Raw genomic sequence first — 16004 nt, 5'->3', positions numbered from 1 at the left:
TTGATGCATTTGTCAAGTGAAAGAAATGATGAATGAGGTGGCTTTGCGCAAGTCAAATAATTACCTTTCTGAAATTTAATTTCTTCGTTTGCAAAATAGGGAGAATAATACCAACTTTGTTGCGATGTCATGTGAGTTTCAGCTAATAAACAAAAGCTCCTGGCCAAGCGCCGTGGCTCATGCCTGTAATCCCAGCACTTTGGGAGGCCAAAGCGGGTGGATCACTTGAGGCCAGGAGTGCGAGACCAGCCTGGCCAACATACCAAAGCCCCGTCTCTATTAAAAACCAAAAAATTAGCTGAGCATGGTGGCATATGCCTGTAATCCCAGTTATTCAGGAGGCTGAGGTATGAGAATCACTTGAACCAGAGAGGCAGAGTTTGCAGTGAGCCAAGATCACACCACGGCACTCCAGCTTGGGCAAGAGAGCGAGACTCTGCTCCAAAAACAAAAAATAAATAAATAAAAGCTCCCGAGCAGCTGGCCAGTGCTAATACACAATAAAGAGTAGCCACTGGGGCCGGGCGCAGTGGCTTACGCCTGTAATCTCAGTACTTTGCAAAGCCGAGACGGGCGGATCACTGAGGTCAGGAGATCGAGACCATCCTGGCTAACACGGTGAAACCCCGTCTCTACTAAAAATACAAAAAATTAGCCGGGCGTTGTGGCGGGCGCCTGTAGTCCCAGCTACTCGGGAGGCTGAGGCAGGAGAATTGCTTGAACCTGAGAGGTGGAGGTTGCAGTGAGCTGAGATGGCACCACTGCACTCCAGCCTGGGCAACAGAGTGAGACTCCACCTGAAAAAAAAAAAAAAAAGGCCAGGCATGGTGGCTCATGCCTGTAATCCCAGCACTTTGGGAGGCCGAGGCGGGCAGATCATGAGGTCAGGAGATCGAGACCATCCTGGCTAACATGTTGAAACCCTGTCTCTACTAAAGAAATACAAAAAATTAGCCAGGCATGGTGGCAGGCGCCTGTAGTCCCAGCTACTCGGGAGGCTGAGGCAGGAGAATGGCGTGAACCCAGGAGGCAAAGCTTGCAGTGAGCTGATATGTGCCACTGCACTCCAGCCTGGGTGACAGAGCGAGACTCCATGTCAAAAAAAAAAAAAAAAAAAAAGACAAACAACAACAACAACAACAAAAAACTAGCCACTGTGTTTTTAAACATTTCACAATTTGATAAAAAGATTCTATGGTAGAATCCTTTGTCAAGGGGTTGAAGGGGCCCTTCTGAAAATTTTCTCTTCACTTGAAAAAATAAACATCCTCCATGATTCTCTACTTCTTAACTGACCATCCTTCTATGAGTGGACTGGAACTGTCTGCTTTGTTTGAGTAACTGGTACGGATTGCTATAAATCATGGATAATATTCATCTCTAAGCACTGGTCAGAATTTTTCTCTTCAATTAGCACCTTAAGTGAATACCTGCTTTCTGTTCTACTTCAACCCCAGCATTAAACACTTTTTTCCCCCTGCAGTGACTCAGCGGTGTTTTTTGAACAAGGTACCACAAGAATTGGAGGCTCTTATAAAAAGCTGGTTTATCGTGAGTACACAGATGCCTCCTTCACAAATCGAAAGGAGAGAGGCCCTGAAGAAGAGCATCTTGGCATCCTGGGTGAGTTCTTGCAGAATATATATGGCTGGTTTACTCTTCCCATGGGCTACATCAACCTCAGAAAGAATAGTAACTTCAGGACCTACTGCATGATTTCTATGTGTTAAGTAGGCGTGTGGAAGATAAAACAATAAAATGCAGCAGCTAAGTACTTTTCCAAATGTAAATTACCAATGGTAAATTTTCATCATTAAAAGCCCTGCTGACGGCCGGGAGTGGTAGCTCACCCCTGTAATCTCAGCACTTTGGGAGGCTGAGGCGGGCAGATCACTTGGGTAAGGAGTTTGAGACCAGCTTGGACAACATGGTGAAACCCCATCTTTACTAAAAATACAAAAATTAGCAGGGCGTGGTGGCACGTACCTGTAATCCCAGTTTCTTGTGCCTCGATGCTGAGGCATGAGAATCGCTTGAACCCGGGAGGCGGAGGTTGCAGTGAGTCAAGATCGTGCCACTGCACTCCAGCCTGGGAGACAGAGCGAGACTACATCTCAAAAAACAAAACAAACAAACAAACAAAAACCCATGCTGACCTGACTTCAAATGGTTATTTTTTTCTTCAAAGAGGTAAGGGGAATTGTGTGTTGTGTGTTTATGTGACTTGGTTTAAATAGATAACTAAGTTGTGAGCCTCTGCACTTAGTTAAAGATGTGTTCCCTTAGAAATAAAACCCAGGCTAGGGCCAGGCGTGGTGGCTCACGCCTGTAATCTCAGCACTTTGGGAGGCCGAGGCGGGCGGATCACGAGGTCAGGAGATCGAGACCATCCTGGCTAACACGGTGAAACCAGTCTCTACTAAAAATACAAAAAAAATTAGCCGGGCGTGGTGGCGGGTGCCTGTCCTAGTTACTCTGGAGGCTGAGGCAGGAGAATGGCGTGAACTCGGGAGGCGGAGCTTACAGTGAGCTGAGATCTTGCCACTGCACTCCAGCCTGGGTGACAGAGCGAGACTCCGTCTCAAAATCAATCAATCAATCAATCAATCAATCAATCCCAGGCTACTAATGAAACAAGCAGGATCTGTCCTAGAGCCCTCCGCAGGCTGCCCCCAGCCAGAGTCCAGAGACCTGTTCTCGCCAAGGCACGCAGGCAGAATAACAGTGGGTGAGCAAACAGAGTATGGATTCAGATTGTCCTGGTTCTTCACTTTTTTTTTTCCTAGCGGTGACTCAGAGGTATAATACTTTTTGAACAAGGTATTACAAGAATTGGAGGCCCTTATAAAAAGCTGTTTTTTTGTGAGTACACAGTGCATACATTAGCTGTGTGACCTTTGAAAGTTACTCAACTTGGCTGGGCGCGGTGGCTCATGCCTGTATTCCCAGCATTTTGGGAGGCCGAGGCAGGCAGATCACTTAGGTCAGGAGTTCGAGACTAGCCTGGTCAACATGGCGAAACCCCATCTCTACTAAAAAAAAAAAAAGTACAAAAATGAGAATGGCGTGGTGGCGAGTGCCTGTAATCCCAGCTACTGGGAGGCTGCGACAGAAGAATCACTTGAACCTGGGAGGCAGAGGTTGCAGTTAGCCAAGATCATGCCACTGCACTCCAGCCTAGGCAACAGAATGAGACTCCATCTCAAAAAAAGAAAAAGAAAAAAAGAAAATACTCACTGTCTGTCCCTGCTCCCTTCTGTAAAATGGGAACAATAGTTATTAAAGTTGGTATAGGGATTAAATCAGTTAATAGACATACACTCAGAAGAACAGATAGGAAACTCTCTATAAATGTCATTTTGTATATTACATAAAATATTTATGTAAAATATATATTTTTATTCTATAATTGGTAATCATTAATTTTGGTCATGGAAAATCCAAAACAGTGTTATCCTTCACATCCAAAACAATTCAACTTATCTGCTTTGGGTGGTCAGAGTTTATAGCACCTAACTCTTGGGACAAATGACACACCTCCAGCCAACAGAAGATTAGGCTGAGGAGTCTCAACATTCTGAATAGTTTTTGTAGATGTGTAAAGCTTACTAACTGACTTGTACAAAAATGATAATCAATTTCATTAATCTGAAGTTGAATTAAAAAGCCCTTCTCTCCTTCCAACCTCGACATATCAGATTGATTATGGACTTCTCAAAAACCAAGCTTTCCATTCACCACAAATAAGCGTGTTGCTCCTAGTAGTTCTTGCCAGAGAACACAGTCAAAGAAGATAACTATCTTATACATTCTGCATGTTACATACCAAGGAAGGATAATAATTCTCTCTTTGTTCCCAGGTCCTGTCATTTGGGCAGAGGTGGGAGACACCATCAGAGTAACCTTCCATAACAAAGGAGCATATCCCCTCAGTATTGAGCCGATTGGGGTGAGATTCAATAAGAACAACGAGGGCACATACTATTCCCCAAATTACAACCCCCAGAGCAGAAGTGAGTATACAGCACTGTGTAACAAATCAACAATGTTTAATAACCCACTGTACTGGTCACTGACAGTATGCTGCAAAAACTGAAGGCAGGAACTCCCAAGGAAACCGCTCATATATCATTTCTAGGCATCATGCCAGGAAACAAATAAACCCCTTCTCCTACCTCCAATTGGTTTACGGAATTTTGTCCTGCCTTAATTGGATGATTATTGACAATCCTGATAGTAATTTAGTTGGGTTGTATCAATTATACATTTCTGGAGTACCTTGGGTGATTTTTAATTTTTAAAAAAGTTCTTATAAGAATGTTCGATGTTCACTTTAGAATATTTGAAAAATATAGAAAGGTAGCAAAAAATACTAATTATCCATAGTTCTATAAGCAATCGCTCTTATATTTTTATATAATTCTTCCATTTTCATCTGTATACATATAATATATATTTTAAATACGGTTGAGATCATAGCAAATAAATGTTATTTTAATTTCATAATCGGAGTTTGTTCTCTTAGCATTACAAGGGTTTTATAAACATAATTTTAATGATATAAAATATTTCATTATGTGGATTTTTTGACTATTTTTACACATCAAGAAGGACCAGTGAAGACTAGTGACTTTGCTACCACTTGCAGTGTGACTGTGAACAGGTTATTCAAATGTAAATTTGAAAGATTTAAATAGGATCACCTGCAAAGTTCTTTCAGTTCTACAATTATGGAATGGAATGTAATTTTCAGTTCCATTTTATTCAATAGAAAATGCATCGATTTCACTGTATTGCCGGCATTGTTCTAGCTGATAGAAATGTAGAGACAGTGCTTGCCTTCAAGAAAGTTAAGCTCTGTTCGAGAGAAATACACGCAATACAACATGAAAGGTGCTAGGGACATTCCCGGAAGATGTGTGAGCACAAAGAGGGGCACCACTCCCAGGAGGAGGTTTAGAAGAGTCTATCTGGATGCAATCACATCGGTCTGTTATCTGACACCAGAGCATAAGTGGGATTCCATTCTAATTTATAACAAAGAACTCAGAAGTGGGCTATTCTAGACTAAACTTAGTCTACTTTGTGGCTCAAATGACCACGTTAGAAAGCACACTTCACCTCTCTAATGTGACCTTTCTCACAGGTGTGCCTCCTTCAGCCTCCCATGTGGCACCCACAGAAACATTCACCTATGAATGGACTGTCCCCAAAGAAGTAGGACCCACTAATGCAGATCCTGTGTGTCTAGCTAAGATGTATTATTCTGCTGTGGAACCCACTAAAGATATATTCACTGGGCTTATTGGGCCAATGAAAATATGCAAGAAAGGAAGTTTACATGCAAATGGGAGACAGGTAAGTCCAACTGGGGAAAAAAAAATTGTTCAATCTCTTTGAAAATGATCATTTGACAGAAATAGAAATATCTAACCTCATCATTATCTCCAAAAATACTTTAGTATATACCTTTAAAAGATAAGGACTTCTTTAAAAATGCCCACAATTATCACACCTTAAAATAATAATAACACACATCATAACTCTTTAAAGTTATCAAATAGCCAATCAATGTTCACATTTCCCCAACTGACTTTTTAGGTCTGTTGTTTGGATCAGTATCCAAACAATTACACATATTACAATCAATTTATATGTTTCCTAAGATTGTTTACTTGCAATTTTTCTGTTGCAAGAGTCATTGGTCCTGTAGAAATTTCCCATGTCTTGATTTTACTTTTTATCGTATGGTATCATTTAACACAGGGGTCCCCAACATCCCCCACACACACCCCCATGGGCCACACAGCAGGAGGTGAGCCTGTTAGGTGGTCTGTCAGGAACTGGGCTGCACAGCAGGAAGTGAGCAGCAGGCAAGCAAGCATTATCTCCTGAGCTCTGCCTCCTGTCAGATCAGTGGCGGCAACAGATTCTCATACGAGCGCAAATCCTATTGTGAACTGTGCATGTGAGGGGTCTAGGTTGCACGTTCCTTATCAGAATTTATGCCTGATGATCTGAGGTAGAATAGTTTCATCCAGAAACCACCCCCCTTTCCCAAGTTTTTGTAGAAAAAATGTCTTCCGTGAAACCGGTCCCTGGTGCCAAAAATGTTGGGGATCGCTAAAACATGTTTCTTTCTCTCTGCTTTTATTTCCTATAACTAGTAGTTACATCTAAAAGTTTGATCTAATTCAGATTTTTTTTTTTTCAAGACTGCTTCAAATGTGGTACTGGGCACTTCTGTCAGGGAGTACATAATTTATAGTTGTCCCTTAACTGGGGATGTTATCAGCTACTGATGATGGTTTCCTAGATTCATAAACTAATCAGTGTTGCATAATAGTAATATTCTAATTCCATCTTCCTTTCTTTATTAGCTGGCATACTTCTCTATAAACAGGAACTTCTTAATGAATTATTTGGTTACCCTGAGGTACACAGTATATAGAAAGAGTATGACTTTCATGCGCGTCCATGTGAAGAGACCACCAAACAGGCTTTGTGTGAGCAACATGGCTGTTTATTTCACCCGGGTGCAGGCGGGCTGAGTCCGAAAAGAGAGTCAGCGAAGGGAGATAAGTGTGGGGCCGTTTTATAGGATTTGGGTAGGTAAAGGAAAATTACAGTCAAAGGGGGTTTGTTCTCTGGCAGGCAGGAGTGGGGGTCGCAAGGTGCTCAGTGGGGGTGCTTTTTGAGCCAGGATGAGCCAGGAGAAGGACTTTCACAAGGTAATGTCATCAGTTAAGGCAAAGACCGGCCATTTACATTTCTTTTGTGGTGGAATGTCATCAGTTAAGGTGGGGCAGGGCATATTCACTTCTTTTGTGATTCTTCAGTTACTTCAGGCCATCTGGGCGTATACGTGCAAGTCACAGGGGATGCGATGGCTTGGCTTGGGCTCAGAGGCCTGACAATGACAAATACTTGATTCATTCCCTATATTTATAAGTTTCAAATTAATCAAAGGCTTCTCAATTTTTTTTTACTTTTAAGTAGCATTGTGCACTCGTGGATTTAAGCATATGTGGTGTGTTACAATTCACTGCCATTATTCCTACTGATGTTCAAAGTATCCTTTTTGACACTGAAGGACTTGTTCAGGTTGACTCCTTTATTTTTACATCATAGTAGTCTTTGAAGATTCTTTGCTTTCTAGTATAACGAGACACCAGGCTCATTTTGCACATTTTCGGAGCCAGAACTGAAACTAACCATTTGTTCCCAAAAGCCTGTTTTTTGTTTTTTGTTTTTTTTGGTGAGGATTTGGAACCACAATGTGGGCACTAGAGTTGCTTGTTGCTATTGGGCAAACAATTGTTTCTGGGCCTTTTCAGTGGAAGAAAATGGGAAAAAACTTTTCAGATAAATTCATCATGATTTCATACTTATACTTTCTATTCAAATTTGAGTCTACAGATTTTTTGGTTTGTTATTAACTGCATCAATCTTATATTTGTATCTGCCTTAAACTGCACTGAAAAATCTTATTTTTTCCACGACACCAACATATTCATTTGATTCATCCCACAATATACATACAACAGTCTCAGAATCACAATTACAACACTACAATCAACAATATGATTACTGAAAACAGTTTAAGATTTGTTTGCCACTCTTTTTGTCATTAGGGTAGATCCCACTAGAGATTTTTAGACAAATTACATATCTAAAATCACTTGGAATAGTTCTTCTCCACATAGTTTTGCCACCACTGGATATACGGGTTAATTCATTGTACTTCTCTGTTTCAGAAATTGCTTTTAAAACTGTAATATTATTTTATGTAAAATACTCATACCTCACATAGTTACCTTTTTTTTTGGCTTTATAGTTTATTCTTTTTTTTTTTTTTTGAGACGGTGTCTCGCTCTGTCAACCAGGCTGGAGTGCAGTGGCATGATCTCAGCTCACTGCAAGCCCCACCTCCTGGGTTCACACCATTCTTCTGCCTCAGCCTCCTGAGTAGCTGGGACTACAGGCGCCCGCCACCACGCCCAGCTAATTTTGTTTTGTATTTTTAGTAGAGACGGGTTTCACCGTGTTAGCCAGGATGGTCTTGATCTCCTAACCTCGTGATCCGCCTGCCTCTGCCTATTCTTCCATTTTTAAATAAACAAACGTGTGTGTATTCATATCTTTGCTTTTTTCACTTCACAATAGAATCTGAACATCTCTTCATAGTATTGTTTGGAAATATTGCTCATTCCTCATTTCTTTGCATAGTATATATTACTCTGATGTGTGGACATGCTACAGTTTATACAATCAGTCCCTTATTTGACAAGTGTTTGGGTTGTTTCTAGTCTTTGCCTTCACAAATACAAAACAATGTACAGCTTTGTTAGCCTTGTTCATGTCTCTTTGTATTTTGCCAGCATACCTTTGTGATAAATTCCTAGAAATTGTATTGTTGGGACAAAAGCTAAATGCTTATACAGTTTTGTGAAATATTGCCAAATCCCCCTCTGTAGTTGTGCCAGTTTGTATTTCCAGAAGGTATACATGAGATCATCTGTGTTTCCACAGCGTTATTACAAACTATATTGTCAAATTTGGGGATTTTCACAAATCTGATAGGAAATAAATGATACAGTCGAGGAGCGGATCATATTTATCTTTTTTCTGTATGGCTATCTAGTTACCCACAAAAAAGCTAAACTTTGCTGCATTGATTGAAATGCTGCCTTTATCATCTACTAAAATATTTATATATAAGTGAGTCTATTTCTAGATTTTCTATGCTGTTCTGCTGGTCTTTATTCTTGCACCAATACCATACTGCTTTATTAGGAGAGCCCTTTAATATGTTTCATGGCTATAGCTATGTCTCATTTCTCTTCTTTTCCATCATTTTAATGGCTATTTTTGCTTCCTTATTCTTTCTACTGAACCTTAGAAAAACTTATCTAGATCCAGAAAAAAGGCTTGATAGTGTTTTATTGGGATTGTTTCAAATGTATAAGTTAAAGTAGGGAGTACAGACATAATCACGAAGTTGAGTCATCCTACATAAGAACGTATGTCTTTCCATTTGTTCAAGTCTACTTTTGTGTTTTTCAAGAGTATTTTATAGTTCCTCTTATATGGATCTTGGATTTTTTTTTAAGATTACGCTGAGATGTTTTATTTTTATTTGGCCTTTGTAAATGGTAATACCATCACTTAACATTTTAAGTATGTGGCTGGGTGTGGTGGTTCATACCTGTAATCCCAGCACTTTAAGAGGCTGAGGTCAGTGGATCACTTGAGGTCAAGAGTTTCAGACCAGACTGGCCAACATGGTGAAACCCCGTCTCTACTAAAATTACAAAAATTAGCCAGGTGTGCTGGTGCATGTCTGTAATCCCAGCTACTCAGGAGGCTGAGGCACAAGAATTGCTTGAACCCGGGAGGCGGAGGTTGGTGTGAGCAGAGATTGCATCACTGCACTCTAACCTGGGGGACAAAGCCAGACTCTGTCTCAAAAAAAAAAATAAAAAATAAAAAATAAAAAATTTTAAATATGTAATTGAAAAAAAAAAGGTTTTCTACTTTTAGATTCCTATTCTTGATCTTGTGCTTACTTTGGAAGGAATAAAACAAGACTAATGTTTATTAAACTCTCTCCAGGTACTGTCAGACATGTTACCTTATTTGACCTTTGCAACAACACGAGAGGCTATGTATTTTTATGCCCATTTTGTGGACAAAGAACTGATGCTCAATGAGTTGAGATTTAAAATGAGATTTACCTTCTGCATATTTCATTATCTTCATTTTGCAAATGAAGAAATCACAACACAGGAAGGCCTACAGAGGCATCAGAAGTCCTCATCCTGGCTTTCTCAGTTACTAGCCATGTGGCTACAGATTAGTTATTTAATATTTCTCATGCCCATCTGAATCATCAGTAAAATGGAGATGATACCTGCCCTACTGACGCATCTTGATGGGTTGCATTCTTTCTTTTTGAAAGAAACAAATGGAATGAATATAGGTTAAAGCCCTGGGTAAGCTAAAATGTATTAAGCTGACAAGGAATGGTTATCTTGTCTAAATGCATACAACACAATGTGAAGTCAATCAATTTCTAAAGCAAGTTCCTGACCTTTATAACTATTCTTTTTAAAAAAATATCATTTTAATATGAAAATATTTCATGAACACTGTGAAAATTATGAAAATATATGGAGGTAAAAGAAGAAAATAGTCTCAACACAAAAAAGGGATCACAATTGCATATATTGTTTGCAATTTGCTTTATACACTTAAACATATTATGATTATCCTTCTATATCATTAAAAAAACTTCAGCCTTATTCTGAATGACTGCAAAGTATTTCATGATCTGAATGCACCATAATTTATTCAGTCAGTTCCCTACTGTCAAACATTTAGATGGTTTGCAATTTTTTACAATTATGAACTGGGTGTATTTGACATACTATTTTTTGTTTTAACTAAACAGTAGGATATGCCCATTTTTACTTCATGGGAACAAATCTTGGGACTTAAATTTCTAGGTCACAGGCCAGGCACAACTTATGTGCTTGTCAAACTGCTCTTCATAAAGTAGTATTTTTCAAACTGTAGATCATGACCCATTTAGTCGGTTGTAACTAGCGACTAGAATTTTTTGAAGTATCAAGTGGGAAAGAAGAGACAATGTCAGAGTATACCACATACAGTAAGGACAAGTAAGGGTTAAAGAAATTTCTTTTCTGGAGTGTATGCGTGTGTGTGTGTGTGTGTGTGTGTATACAGGATCACAACATGAAATGTACTTCTTATGTGGTTGCAATAGAAAAGTTTGAAAATCACTGCGTAAAGTGTAGGAGAGAGGCTGTTCTCTGCCGTTTTACTAATACTTAGTTTTAAATTTTTACAAACGGCATAGGTCAATTACTGCACCTCATTCTCATTTAAATTTATAGTTTAATTAATAATGTTTATTGACCATTTGTACTTCTTCAGTCAATTTCTTGGTGACGGCAGATATTCATTTTCAATTATTAATCCATAAAATATCTATATATTAAGCCATATAATATATATATGTGTGTGTGTGTATACTACATACATATTATCTTTGTTATGTATAATGCAGGTCTTTTTCTTTTTTGTGTGTGTTTTTTCATATTCCATTATTGCTTACAGTTGAGTGTTTTTACTTTTTTGTTTGTTTGCCTGTGACAATATAGCTGTTTTCAGTGTTACATAGCCAAATTATCAATTCTTTTTTTTTTGCCTTTTGTATCATACTTAGAAAATTATTTTCTATTCTATAGGTAAGTAAATATTCATCTACAGTTTAGTCAGTATCTTAAAAATGCTACTTGTAACACATTTTCAGTTTGGTGAGTAGGGCTCTAAGGCTCTAAGTTTTATCTTTTCTAAACAACTATTAGATTATCTGAGCATTATATATTAACAAATCTATTCTTTACTCACTGATTTGAAGTGTCACCTTTAACATATTGTAAATCTTAAATATATCTGGATCATTTTTCTAGGTTTCCTAGTTTACCGTGTGACCTATCTGTGCCAGTACCTGTACCACATTGTTTTTATTATTGCAGCTTGTAAAGTTTTAAATACATGTCAGAACATGTTCATCCATTACTGAAAAGAATTATTTTCCCTTTTTATTCTTAGATACCCTCACATATACATTATTCTAGATCAATTTTAATATAATTTTGTTAAACTAAAAAACTGCCATTGGTAGTTTTTATTATTATTACATTAAATGAATAGCTTTAGTTGGAGAGAATTCATCTCTTAGCTATAGTTAGTCTTTCACTCAGGAGCCCTTTAATTCAAGTTGTCTTTTTAATTATTCAGTAAATTCTTATAGTCTTTTTCATATTCGTCCTGCATGTTTCTCATTGAATTCCTGTTTTTCTTAATATTATGCATAACACGGTATTTTTTAATTGCATATTGTCATTATAGAAACAGCTGTTAATTGCTTAACATTTATTTTGGAGCTGGACATCTTAAATATTCATTTCTTAGTTCAAATAATTTCCAACTGATTCATATAGGTTCTATATTATCTATAAATAATGCTAATTCTCATCGCCAGCAAATTTATTCTATTTTCTTGCCTTATTATGATGGGTAGAATATTAAAAATAATATTAAACAATAGTGGAATAGCCAGTAGCCTTGTTTGTGTCTGATCTTAATGAGAACATCTCTGTTTATTTTACCACTAAGTATGAATTGGCTAGTGGTTGTGCTTTATTCTACTTTTACACTGAGTGTTTTTAAAACAAATCACTTGAGCTGCTCCAAAAACATCCTGTGCTAGGCACAGAATTCACTGGTAAATAAGACAAATAAGTTTCCTGCTCTGATAGGTTTTTATTCTAGTGTATATGGGAGGAAGGAGGGGAATGGGAGGAAAGGAGATGAAGATAAGCAAACAAAAGAAAATGAAATAGATAACTTCAGAAAGTGAGCAGTTCTGCAAAAAAAAAAAAAAAAAAAATAGCGTAATGAGATAGTGAACAGAAATTCTAGTTCAGATAATGTGGAGATAATATTTAATGTGATACCTAAATTTCAAAAAGGCAGCCTTGCAAAGATCTGAGAGGAAAGCAAAGGGAAGAGCTAATGCCAGAATGTCATATTTTACAAAAATTTCTTTTTAGATTTTCTTGAAATCATTATATAGTCTTTCTCCTGTAATGTGATCAACTACAAATAAATATGACCAGCTACATTAAAGACTTTCTAATGTTAAACTATCCTTGCACTCTGGGGGAGAACAACACTTAAGTATGGTGAATTTTTCTTTAATATATTGGTGGGCTGAATTTGACTGTGTTTGATTTAGAATTTCTCATTTAAGCTTATAAATGAAATTAGTTTAGCTTTTGCTTGCTTTTTCAGATATTAATATCCATGGTTATACTATCTTTATTAAATAAACTAGGAATAGTTTAAATATTTGGGAACCATCTGCTCCCTAGAGAGTTGAAAGAAACTGCCTTAAAAATTATTTTGACTTTTAAAAAGGAGTAGTTTTGTTGTTTATGGGGTTCCCCCCCTCCTTTTTTTTTTTTTTTTTTTTTTAGACAGAGTCTTCCTCTGTCGCCCAGGCTGGAGTGCAGTGGTGTGATCTCAGCTCACTGCAACCTCCACCTGCTGGGTTCAAGTGATTCTTGTGCCTCAGCCTCCTGAGTAGCTGGGACTACAGGCGCCTGCCACCACACCTGGCTAATTTTTGTATTTTTAGTAGAGATGGGGTTTCACCATGTTGGCCAGGCTGGTTGCAACCTTCTGGCCTCAAGTGATCTGCCTGCCTCGGTCTCCCAAAGTGCTGGGATTACAAGTGTGAGCCACCGCACCCAGCCTGTTTATGTTTTTAATCACTATTTTATTTCATCCATGAGTACTAGTCCAGTCAGGCACTTCTTTCTAAGTCAGTAGATCACATTAATTGCATATAATGATTTACATTTTTCTCCCCTATATATGTGGTTATATTCCTTTCTCATTTCTAATGTGGTATTTTTTTGGTTCTCTCCACCTTTTTTATTAGACTTGCCAGAGATTTATATTTCTCTGGTCTTTTCACATAATATATTTTTGGATTTAATCATTTTACCTGTGTTAAATTTCTTAATTTATGCTTTTGTCTTTGTTAATTTTTCTCTGTAACTAATTTTAAAATTTTTTCAGATATTTAGATTTATTTTTATTTAGTCTTAAGATAAAAAGCTTTTCAGATTCTTAGTTTATATGTGTAGTTACATTCTATACATTTTTCTTTACAGCATGCTCACAGACATTACTTACCAAATCTCAGTATTTCATTTTTATTTTCTCTTCGATCTAAGTTATTTGGATCAAAAATGACATTCTTTTTTTACTTTTTGTCCTTGACTAGTAATTTTTAATTTTATTGCATTATGATCAGAAAACATGACCTGAAAATATTTCATTGACGTTTTCTCTGTCGATCAGTATACAGGTGATTGTACCAGTCCCTGTTGGAATCCTTATACATCTGAAAATGACTTTTGTTGTTCTTTACCTGGTGTTACATTTTTGTATCATAATATTTTCTTCTCAAAAAGATAAATGCTACTTCATCTTCTTCTGGCATTTATTATACTTGATAATTTTAATGTCAACCTGATTTTTTCGTTTCATAACTTTTTTTTTTTTTTTTTGAGATAGAGTCTCGCTCTGTTACCCAGGCTGGAGTGCAGTGGCTCGATCTTGGCTCACTGCAAGCTCCACCTCCTGGGTTCACGCCATTCTCCTGCCTCAGCCTCCCAAGTAGCTGGGACTACAGGAGCCCGCCATCACACCCGGCTAATTTTTTTTGTATTTTTAGTAGAGACGGGGTTTCACATGTTAGCCAGGATGGTCTCGATCTCCTGACCTCGTGATCCACATGCCTTGGCCTCCCAAAGTGCTGGGATTACAGGCGTGAGCTACCACGCCTGGCCTTTCATAACATTTTTAAATGGAACATTTACCAGGACATTTTTAGTACAGATCTCCATTACTAATTTTGTAATTTTGTCTTGTTTTCAGGAAGCTTTTGAATCTGAATCCTCTAGTCTTTTCCCTTTGTGGTGGCAAACACTTCCACTAGTATTTCTTATGATTGTGCCTCTTCCTTTTATAACTTCTTTCTAAAATTATTACAATGTGTATATTTTTCACCTTCAAATGCTCTCCTCTGATTTATGGGAGCTTTCTTTAGATCCCCTTCATCATAGTTTCAGTTCTCTGAAGGATCTAACCTTCAGGTCTTTGCTTTAGTTTGATTTTTTTCAATTTGATAATCACCTTATCATGTATCTGAAGGACTGATCTTAAGGGAAAGACAGGCAATAATCTCTAAAGTATTCTCTCCTTTAAGAGTCACTTATTCTCAGGGGCTCATTTGCTTTGATTCCTTTGACTGCCTTCTTCTGAACTACTGAATCATTTCATAGACCAGATGCACTTCTGCTCCTTTTTTTTTGTTTTTTCCACTGGGAGAAGTGGGAGGAGGTGATAATGTTTGAACAGCTGGCTGGAGATTGTTTGAATCTCTGTTCGAATTCATTGGGAGGTTATTTCTTCATCTGGGATGATTTCTTCCTCAAATCTGCTTCCATCCTGCTCTGCCTTACAGGAATTCTTCCGGTTTTCATGAATGTGAAATCTTCCCTGATTTCCAGCACAGACCCATATTCTTTCCTATTTTAACTTTTTTTTTTTTTTTTTTTTTTTTTTTTTGGAGGCTTCAATTGGTATGCACAATGTGGGCAGGAAGGTAGAGTTAGAACTTTTAGATGCAGAGAGAGACTCAGATTACCATATTGAACCACAAATCCACTAAACAGATACCAAAGAAAGCTCTGGTGGTGAACTGAAATATTTCAGGAACCCTAGTTTACAAAGAGCAACAGAAACTTCTGTTCTCATTCTTTCCTTTAGGTGTGTTTGTGCATAAATAGTATTGTGCACATGGAAGTCTTCTGCTTTATTCATTCTGTCTCCATCTCATTTTGTTTTGATTTACAGAAAGATGTAGACAAGGAATTCTATTTGTTTCCTACAGTATTTGATGAGAATGAGAGTTTACTCCTGGAAGATAATATTAGAATGTTTACAACTGCACCTGATCAGGTGGATAAGGAAGATGAAGACTTTCAGGAATCTAATAAAATGCACTGTAAGTACTGCATCATCCACCAATCTACCAAGTTATTTTAGTACTGCATATGTAATGCTTTTAACTAAACAAAATGTGAAGAGCTTTGCTCATTGATTATTTTTTCAATAAACGATTACAATAGTGTCCTGAAGGTAATCTCACTGGTTATTTGATGTGTCTGTCAGTTATCCATTATTTCACTTAATTCAAGATATGTCAATTACATGAATGGTCCTTAAAGTGTGGTCCCTATATCAGCAGCCTCAGCATCACTGAGGGACTTAGAAATGCAAATTCTTAGACCCCTACCCTGACCTACAAAGTCCGAAACTTTGGAGATGGATCCCGG

The 16004-nt window shown here is 37.7% G+C and overlaps 1 protein-coding gene across 9 annotated transcripts in view, besides 4 other annotated features; it reads left to right on the top strand.

The window, feature by feature from the left end:
• CP (ceruloplasmin) overlaps positions 1-16004 on the top strand; it is a 59416-nt gene that overhangs the window by 18105 nt on the left and 25307 nt on the right. For all 9 annotated transcript variants that reach the window (NR_046371.2, XR_427361.4, XM_006713499.4 and 6 more), the window contains exons 7-10: positions 1484-1623; positions 3861-4013; positions 5147-5358; positions 15523-15673. Coding sequence is in view for 7 of the 9 variants with exons in the window: in XM_006713499.4 (XP_006713562.1) it covers positions 1484-1623; positions 3861-4013; positions 5147-5358; positions 15523-15673 (656 nt within the window). In the remaining 2 variants the exon portion in view is untranslated. The remainder of the gene's footprint in view (positions 1-1483; positions 1624-3860; positions 4014-5146; positions 5359-15522; positions 15674-16004) is intronic.
• Positions 4279-5075: an enhancer, noted in NCBI's record as "OCT4-NANOG-H3K27ac hESC enhancer chr3:148916437-148917233 (GRCh37/hg19 assembly coordinates)". NCBI's record gives its function as "activates a minimal SCP1, AML or CMV promoter by ChIP-STARR-seq in primed H9 embryonic stem cells {active_cell/tissue: H9 hESC(primed)}" and the evidence as "EXISTENCE:reporter gene assay evidence [ECO:0000049][PMID:30033119]".
• Positions 5076-5871: an enhancer, noted in NCBI's record as "OCT4-NANOG-H3K27ac-H3K4me1 hESC enhancer chr3:148915641-148916436 (GRCh37/hg19 assembly coordinates)". NCBI's record gives its function as "activates a minimal SCP1, AML or CMV promoter by ChIP-STARR-seq in primed H9 embryonic stem cells {active_cell/tissue: H9 hESC(primed)}" and the evidence as "EXISTENCE:reporter gene assay evidence [ECO:0000049][PMID:30033119]".
• Positions 5872-6669: an enhancer, noted in NCBI's record as "OCT4-NANOG-H3K27ac-H3K4me1 hESC enhancer chr3:148914843-148915640 (GRCh37/hg19 assembly coordinates)". NCBI's record gives its function as "activates a minimal SCP1, AML or CMV promoter by ChIP-STARR-seq in naive and primed H9 embryonic stem cells {active_cell/tissue: H9 hESC(naive and primed)}" and the evidence as "EXISTENCE:reporter gene assay evidence [ECO:0000049][PMID:30033119]".
• Positions 6670-7465: an enhancer, noted in NCBI's record as "OCT4-NANOG-H3K27ac hESC enhancer chr3:148914047-148914842 (GRCh37/hg19 assembly coordinates)". NCBI's record gives its function as "activates a minimal SCP1, AML or CMV promoter by ChIP-STARR-seq in naive and primed H9 embryonic stem cells {active_cell/tissue: H9 hESC(naive and primed)}" and the evidence as "EXISTENCE:reporter gene assay evidence [ECO:0000049][PMID:30033119]".

The sequence above is a fragment of the Homo sapiens genome, chromosome 3, assembly GCF_000001405.40.
Source record: "Homo sapiens chromosome 3, GRCh38.p14 Primary Assembly".
NCBI classification, from domain to species: domain Eukaryota; kingdom Metazoa; phylum Chordata; class Mammalia; order Primates; family Hominidae; genus Homo; species Homo sapiens.
The sequence above is the reverse complement of the archived record's forward strand: the minus strand, read 5'-3'. Positions and strand labels throughout refer to the sequence as shown.